This window comes from Homo sapiens, chromosome 16 (assembly GCF_000001405.40).
Source record: "Homo sapiens chromosome 16, GRCh38.p14 Primary Assembly".
Lineage (NCBI taxonomy): Eukaryota > Metazoa > Chordata > Mammalia > Primates > Hominidae > Homo > Homo sapiens.
The window spans coordinates 88,978,866-88,987,371 of record NC_000016.10 but is presented as its reverse complement, the minus strand read 5'-3'; the positions used below and the strand labels follow the sequence as shown (position 1 = coordinate 88,987,371).

The following is an 8,506-nucleotide window of genomic DNA, read 5'->3' as shown; positions in this document are numbered from 1 at the left end:
TAGTTGGGCGTGGTGGCGTGCTCCTGTAATCCCAGCTACTAGGGAAGCTGAGGCAGGAGAATTGCTTGAACCCAGGAGGCAGAGGTTGCACTGAACCGAGATCACACCATTGCACCCCAGGCTGGGTGATAGCGCGAGACACCGTCTCAAAAAGAAAAGAAAAGAAAGGAAAAAGACACGGAGGGACCATAAATGCATGCTGCTGAGTGAAAGCAGCCCGTCTGCAAAGACCACACACTGTAGGGTTCTGACTCTGACATCCAGGAAAGGGCAAAACTGTGCAGACAGCACAAAGATCAGTGACGCCAGGGGCTGGGGAGAGGGAGGGACGGAGGGATGTGCAGCAGGAACACGGGGGACCTGGGGCAGTGAAACTACTCTGTATGATACCACAACGGTGGGTCCACATCAGGATACGTTCGTCCAACCATAGACTGCACAGCACCCGGTGGACCCTGAGGTCGTGCGGCCTGTGGGTGATGATGCTGTGTCCAGGGGGGTCTCAGCTGTAACAAACGGCCACTCTCGTGGGGATGCTGAGCCCAGGGGTGCAGGGGAACCCTCTGTACTTCATGCTCAATTTTGCTGTGAACCTAAAGCTGCTTTAAAAAATAAAATATGTTTAAACAAAAAAAAAAAAAAGAAAAAGAAAAAGAAAAAGCTCATCTCCCTGGAGCTGACCTAGCGGGAGAGACAGGCAGTAAACAACGTTCAGCACATCAGAGAGTGCCACCTGCTATTCAAGACAAGCAAAGCAGGGAGGGGGCTGCAAAGCAGGATGGGGGCTGTGGGGCTGTAGGGGGGCAGGCGGATCTTCACAAGGGGGTCCCAGAGGCGAGGGTCTGAGAGGCCCGGGGTGAGCCGTGGGCAGAGTTGGGAGTGGAGCGGGCTGTGGCTGGGACAGGGGGACAAGGAGCAGACAAGGGCCGAGACCCTCACTCAGAGCAGACCCCACATCATACCCCCCCTGCAGCACATGCCTGAGAGACCCCCCGGCTTGTGGGTTTGCTGAGTCACCCACAGCCTTCCTGGGGTTTCTGGGTGTCCCAGGACCCTCAGATGCCCTGCTACAGACCCCAAGGCCCCTTCCCCAGGGTCCAGCATCCAAACCCCCTGGGGGCTAGCGAGAAGGAACTTCCAGGAGGAGCCGAGTGAGCAGAGGGAAGAAAGGAAGCACGACTGGAGGGCTGAAGCAGGTCCCTGGACATGGTGGGGCAGCCGGAAGGCGGTTGGAGGCCGGACCCCTGCCTGCAGGGCCAGCTTGCCTGGGTGCTGAATGATAAACCTCATGCTGTGACAGCAGGAGGCGGCTCAGGGGCCCAGCATGGAGCCCCCTCCCCTGAGCTGCCTGATGGGGGGACTCAGCTTGGTGGTCTTCCCTGCCCCCACCTCTGAGCTGCCCGATGTGGGGTTTCAGCCTGACGGTCTTCCCTGCCCCCATTTCTCCTCCATGACCTTCAGCTTTCTCCCAAGAAGCCCTACCCTCTCGGGCCGGCCAGGTTGGACCCCCTTAGACGGATAAGGCCAGGTTGGACCCCCTTAGCCGGGTCAGGCCTGCAGGCGACAGCCAGGAAGGGGCTGGACCCTGGACCCACCCCCACGCCAAGCACCACAGACATGTGCTCCGAGCTCAGGTGGCTGGAACTGCCAGGGAGGTCCCAGAGCCTCAGGGAAGTCCCTCCACCCACCCATGGGGAGAGACAACCGTTGCAATGACAGAGTCACAGTGCTGGCTCACCCTGTCCCCAAGCAGACCCCGGGGCAACCTCGTCCCTCCAGATCCCCTCGGGGACAATCGGAGCAGACCCAGGACAGCCCCAGGTGCCCCACGCACAGATCCTGGGTGGGTGAGGATTTCTGACAAGCTCCCAGGGTCAGGGACTGCGCTCTGAGAACCCTCGGACTCCCCTCCCAGACCCCTCTCACTTTCCTCGGTGTCTGGAGTCGGGACTGAACATGGGCGCAGGGTCAGGGACTGCGCTCTGAGAACCCCTGGACTCCCCTGCCCGACCCCTCTCACTTTCCGCGGTGTCTGGAGTCAGGACTGAACACGGGCAGAGTGGGAAGGGTGTTTTAGGCCAGGGCACCCAAAGGCGCCTTAAAAGAATCTGATGTTTAAAATGTTTCAAGTTCAGTGAAGCAGAGTGCTTGATCCACAAGCCTGTGTTATATCCTCTAAGCTTGTGTGTGTCTGAAAACAAGGTCAATAGAAACCTAACTATTAAAAAGCCATGAGGCCGGGTGCAGTGGCTCATGCCTGTCATCCCAGCACTTTGGGAGGCTGAGACAGGAGAATCGCTTCAGCCACGAGTTTGAGACCAGCCTGGGCAACATAGTGAGGCCCCATCTCTACAAAACATAAAAAATTAACCAGGCATGGTGGCGGGCGCCTCTGGTCCCAGCTATTCAAGAGGCTGATGCAGGAGATTCGCTTGAGCCCAGGGGGTGGAGGCTGCGGTGAGCCAAGATCGCACTGCTGCACTCCAGCCTGGGTGACAGAGCAAGACCCTGCCTCAGAAAAAATAAATAATGGAAGCAAAACACAAAGTTTTTTTCTTATTGGATACAGGCCAGTTTGTCTTCCAGTTCAGCTCTAAGATACAATAACAGTGCTGTGATCGTCCATCACACTCACAATCGCCCAGGACGCGAATGGTTAGGGTCCTGCAGCCTCTTCAGGGACGAAGTCCACGTTTGGAGCAGGTCAGGCTGCATGGTTCTTAACCCAAGACTCCCAGATCCTTCCGGATCCTTCCGGGTGCCTGGAATATCCTTGGGCCTCTTGGCCAGACCTAGCTGGGTCTTCCGTGGCCCCAGGCCCCACTGCAGCCCGAAGTAGCCACTGGTGGGAGGCAGGAGCTTGGCACTGCTTGGGGGAGGTGTCTATGACGCAGGAGGTGGCACCCTGGCTCTGGAGGGCGGGCGGCTGCCTCTCCCCACGCACCACGCGCCACGCGCCACACACACAGAACCACACACCAGCCTCTTGGTATTTTCCTCATGTTGGATGCCGCTCGATGGCCCAGGTTTACCCAGTTCCCAGGCTCCGGGCTGAGAACAGAATGTTCCAGAATGTTCTAGAACATTGGTGGGTAGGCCAGGGCCACGTTCTTCCCTCTTAAGCTGCTGTGAACACCCAGGCAGGACGGAGGGGAGGAGAGGAAGAGCACAGGGCAGGGGTTCCCTCGTTCATTCCTTCTGCTGCACACACACCACCCCCCGTCGGCAGAGCCGTGGACTCGCGGACTCACAGGAGATGAGATGAGGGCAGGTCACCGGTGTGGGGCCTGCGGACTAGACATGGCACCAGCACAGGGGCAGCCGCCTCAGCCTGAGTCAGAGGGAAACCGGGGCGGCACCGGCACGTCGCAGCCCTCACCCCGCCTGGGCTCCTTACAGGGAAAGTGGCCTCCGGACGGGGCTTCCCCCTTTGCAGCTGGGGTGCAGCAGCCCAGGACCCTGGGACCCCCAGGGAGGCTGGGACTTTCCCCTCTGGGAGCCTCGGTTTCCTGTTCTGCAGAACGGGCAGCCTTGCCGGGTCTTGATGCCTCCTGGGCGCTGGGGAGGAGCAGAGACCACGGTGGGCAGAGGGCTCCGTGTCCTGGAAGCTGGGTGGGTGTAGCCACAGCAGGCTCTCTGCCTCAGGGAGAGGACTGGCTTAGACCCAGCCTGAGTCCCAAATCCCACCGCTGGTGACCTGGGAAATTGCTTAACCTCTCCAGTCCTGTCAGACACCGAATATATGCCACCAGGTCACCAGCGTCCCCCGCAAGTCCAGGGTGCTCAGGAAGCGGGGGCGACGCTGTTGCTGCCCTGATGCTCAAATTCCTGTCTCTGTTCAGACTCCACCCTGCTGGGCTCAGCCCCATGCGCTTCAGGAGGGGAGGAGGATGCCAGCCAAGGGAACAGCGGGTCCTGTGGGGCTGTGGCCTCTGACTGCCGTCAGCTCTCTGTCCCACACCCACTACCCGCCTGGGGTGGCTGATGAGCTGGGGAAGGCCCTCCTGTCCGGGCAAAGGCCACTGAGCCCCCTAGGCCTTGGGGGCTGCCCCAGGGTCCCAAGGCTGCGCTGGGCGGCCGGGCCTGGAGTCTCAGCCCATCCTGCTCTTCGGAAGCAGCTGGGGAGACCGGCCATTTCCTCTGTGTTCCCTGGGATGTGTGTGGGGCAGAGCCCCAGGGGAGTCCTGAGGGCGAGAGAGGTGGAATTCAGCCTAGAGAAGTTCCAGGTGTCGTGTGGGGGACCCAGAGGTGGGTGTGCCAAACTCCGCCAGCCAGTCATCACCCATGGAGCCCTGCGCCTTGTGCCGGGAACACAGCCCTTGGAGACAGGCAAGGTTCCCGCCCAGGGCTGCTTTCCTGTGGGTCCAAGGAAACCAGCCCACAGCAACTGCAACCCAAGGTGCTAATGCTGTGATGGAGGCGTGCAGGGGGCATGGAGCCCAGGAAGGTGTGAAGGGGGTGTGGAACCCAGGAAGGTGTGCAGGGGGTGTGGAGCCCAGGACAGGACAGGGCACTTCCTATGGGCTCTGAGGGCTGGGTAGGAGCCCGCCACGTGAGGCAAGTTTCGATGGGAGGGCTGGGGAAGGCCCAGAGATGAGGAAACACCCTCAGGAGAAGCGGCTCTGATGTAGGGTTGGGGCAGAGTGTGGAGGGGCCCCCAGCCACCTTCAGGGTCTGGCCTTGATCTTGAGGGAGGTGGGCAGCCACTGAAGGTTTAAGAGGAGGGGCGGGGCAGCCACATCACAATTGAAGCAGGTCTCTTGCCATGGGGGCGGGAGGGCTGTGGGGGAGGAGGCTGTGGGGGAGGAGGCTGTGGCTGACTCCAGGGGGCGGCGGTGGGGCTGGGAGAGCCCTTTCTCCCTTCCAAAGCACTCTTCCGGAGAGGGGCCGCATCTGCAGGGATGCCGACCTGAGCTCAATTTAGGAAGAGCTTTCTAGCAGCAACGCGCCTGCCCCGGAGGCGGCCATGGCCAGAAGGCGGTGTGGGGATTCCACTGTCCCCCTGGGCTGGCCCCTTCACGGCTCAGGGATCTCGCAGGGGTCACAGCTGCCCGTCCGTGCTTGCCCACCTTCACGGGCACCATAGGAGAGTCCAAACGTGGACGGTTTTATTAAATCCTCACCACACCCCCATTCAGCTGACTCTGTTACCTTCTTACTTTACAGTTGGGGAAACGGGTCAAGACATTTGCCCAAGCGTACCCAGCACAGACAGGAAATGCTGAGTGTGAACCAGGGGCCTGTGACTTCGAGACCCTCAGTGGGGTTCCGGCTGTCCCACCGGAGACTCCTGGAAGCTGAGGTGGTGAGCGGGACCGGGGGACACCTTCGAGGGAAGCTGGAACCGCGGTTCTTTCCTTGGAATTCAGGGGATCCGTGGACTTGGATGAGTTTCATCTGGCATTGTGTCGTGTCTCTAACCAAAATTTAGCCTTTCCTGTAACCAAGAACGTGGGCACCTCCCCAGGGTGTCAGCCGCGCCTGTGCCGTTGACACCGATAGAGCTGCCCCAGGGCCACTTTGGTGGGCCCCAAGCAGCCACGCCTTGGGAGGGTCCAGGGCTCCACAAAAGACCCCCCTCGCCTTCCACTCACCACCACGTCTCCTAATGCGGTTCCCACGCCTCACCACTTTAAATCATGGCTTAATGAAAAGCACAGTGCTCACTACACCAGAATGTTCTAACGGGGTGGTAGCTGTATTTTGGTAAAATGGGTTTCCTTCATAATTCTGTGAACTTATTTGCTTACTAGATGCCCAAGGAGTCCACACACCGGGAAGGTGAAGACCCCGATTCCAGTTCCGTGCTCTCATTGGGGTGTCTCCGGCCTGCGCCTCGGCTCGGACTCCCCAGGTAGACCTGCTCTTTCTGGGGGTGGCAGGAGCGCCCAGTAACTGCAGTCTCAGAGCCCTGGAATCCTGCACCACTTTGTACCAGGTTTCCCCAAATCACCCCAGCCCTCCGGCCATGGCACCTTCTCCGTGGTTCTGGGTTTGCTCAGCCGTGCCCTGAGCTGGGGAGTGGCTGAGCATCCAGCTATGAGCCGCTTCACCTGCACTGCCTTGAACACCCGGGGCAGGTTTTTTCCTGCCTCCACCCCCGGCCCCCACTCCCTCTGTGGCTCACCCCAACTGTCCACACCTTATTCAGGACCAGAAAGCCGGGGCAAGGCTCCTCCGTACATGACACTGTTCAGCATCCTCTGGAGCGGCTTCGCGACTTACATTCCTCTCTCCAGGCTTTGTGACTGGGGATGGCACCCTTGTGGGCCTCCTCCCTCCTCTGTAAAGTGGGCTGGCATGAGACTTACATAAAACCATATTACCACTTATTCATTGATCCACCTATCCACCCACCCACCCATCCACCCATCCACCCACCCACCCACCCATCCACCCATCCACCCACCCCTCTACCCATCCATCCACACATTGACCCACCCACCCATCTATCCACCTACCCACCCATTCACCCATGCACCCATCTATTCACCCATCCATCCATCCATCCATTCACCCATCCACCCATCTATCCACCCATCCATCCACCCATCCATCCACCCATCCACCCATTCACCCATCCACCCACCCATCCACCCATCCATCCACCTATCCACCCATCCACCCATGTATCCATCCATCCACTCATTCACCTGTCTATCCACCCATCCATCCCTACCCACCCATTCACTGATCCACTCATCCATCCACCCATCCACGCACCCATTCATCCACCCATCCATCCACACATTCACCCACCCACCGATCCATTCACCTACTCACCCATTCACCCATCTCTCCATCCACCACCCATTCACCCATTTATCCATCCATCCATCCATCCATCCATCCACCCATTCACTCATCTATCCACTCATCCACCCATTCACCCGTCTATCCACCCATCCACACATTCACCCATCTATCCACCCACCCACCCACACACCCATCCACCATTCATTCACCCACACACCCATCCATCCACCTACCCACCCATTCACCCATCTCTCCATCCACCCATCCATCCACACATTCACCCACCCACCTATCCATTCGCCTACTCACCCATTCACCCATCTCTCCATCCATCCACCCATCCACCCATCTATCCATCCACCTACCCATTCACCCATTTATCCATCCATCCTTCCACCTATTCACCCATCTATCCACCCATCCACCCATTCACCCATCTACCCACCCATCCACCCATCTATCCATCCACCACCCATTCACCCATTTATCCATCCATCCATCCATCCACCCATTCACTCATCTATCCACTCATCCACCCATTCACCCGTCTATCCACCCATCCACACATTCACCCATCTATCCACCCACCCACCCACACACCCATCCACCATTCATTCACCCACACACCCATCCATCTACCTACCCACCCATTCACCCATCTCTCCATCCACCCACCCATTTACCCATTTATCCATTCATCCATCCACCCATTCACCCATCTTTCCGCCCATTCACCCATCTATCCATCCACCCACCCATCCACACATCTATCCATCCACCCACCCATCCACCCACTCACTCACTCACCCATCTATCCACCCACTCACCCATCTATCCACCCATCCATCCACCCATTCACTCATCCACCCACCCACCCATCCACCCATCATCTACCCACCCATCCACTCACCCACCCACCCATTCATTCATCAATCTATTCATTCATCTATTCATCCAGCAGTGAAGGGTGTGTGTGTTGGGGGTGGGGGGGTTCCTACATGCTAGAAGAGAAGGCAAACATAAGACACCCTGCCTGAAGGAAGGCCTCCTCACCCACCCCCACATGGCGTCATCTCCCCCACTGCCCCCTCACCCTCCTCCAGTTCTCTGGCCATCCTACAGATTCACCAAAGCCTGCCTTAGGGCCCCTCTGCCCACCCAGGGACAGTTTCCCCAACTGCCCTATGGGCCCCACATGCTGGGCCATGTTGATGGAACGTGTCTCCTATAGTTCCCAGAGAGCAGGACCAGGGGCTGTCTTGGACACCGAAAGAACCCCAGTAGGCCCTAATAGGTCTTTTAGGAAGGAAGGAAAGGCCCCTCCTGCCCCGAGAGGCTGGGTGCTGGCTGCAGACAGCAGAGGTCCCTGGGAGAAGCCGAGGCCCCTCCTGCTGCCCCCACCTCTGCAGCCACTTCCTCCCCAGCCCCTTATCTCCTGGCCGCCCAGCTCTGAAAGCCACAGCCAACGTCTGCTTCCCCACAAGCACCAACTGCCCGGCCTGGGGGAGAGGAGGCCGGTAGTGGGGAGGTGGGGAGTGGTGCCCACACCCCCAGGTGGCCGCCAAAGTTGGGGGGCAGCTCCTGCCCCCAACTTGTGGGCAACTTTCTTCTCTTCTCTTTCCAACCCCACCTCCGTCAGACCCCCTGATTAGACACCAGGCAAGACGGGGCCAGGCGGGGAGCTCAGGGCCTCATTGCGAAAGTGGAAGTGTCCCATCTGTGGGGGGCGCAGGTGCAGGCCTCGAACATC

The 8,506-nt window shown here is 59.1% G+C and overlaps 1 long non-coding RNA gene across 1 annotated transcript, besides 3 other annotated features; it reads right to left on the bottom strand.

The window, feature by feature from the left end:
• Nucleotides 3,413-3,913: an enhancer, noted in NCBI's record as "H3K4me1 hESC enhancer chr16:89049867-89050367 (GRCh37/hg19 assembly coordinates)". NCBI's record gives its function as "activates a minimal SCP1, AML or CMV promoter by ChIP-STARR-seq in primed H9 embryonic stem cells {active_cell/tissue: H9 hESC(primed)}" and the evidence as "EXISTENCE:reporter gene assay evidence [ECO:0000049][PMID:30033119]".
• Nucleotides 3,648-3,707: an enhancer, noted in NCBI's record as "active region_11385". NCBI's record gives its function as "activates an Ori minimal core promoter by ATAC-STARR-seq in GM12878 lymphoblastoid cells {active_cell/tissue: GM12878}" and the evidence as "EXISTENCE:reporter gene assay evidence [ECO:0000049][PMID:35858748]".
• Nucleotides 4,998-5,200: a silencer, noted in NCBI's record as "fragment chr16:89048580-89048782 (GRCh37/hg19 assembly coordinates)". NCBI's record gives its function as "represses an EF-1alpha promoter that drives an FKBP-Casp9 reporter gene in an ReSE screen in K562 erythroleukemia cells {active_cell/tissue: K562}" and the evidence as "EXISTENCE:reporter gene assay evidence [ECO:0000049][PMID:32094911]".
• LOC124903756 (uncharacterized) lies at nt 5,086-6,309 on the bottom strand. Its single transcript, XR_007065183.1, has 2 exons — nt 6,143-6,309; nt 5,086-5,416 (listed from the first exon to the last, which is right to left on the bottom strand). It is a non-coding gene; the product is annotated as an uncharacterized LOC124903756 (long non-coding RNA).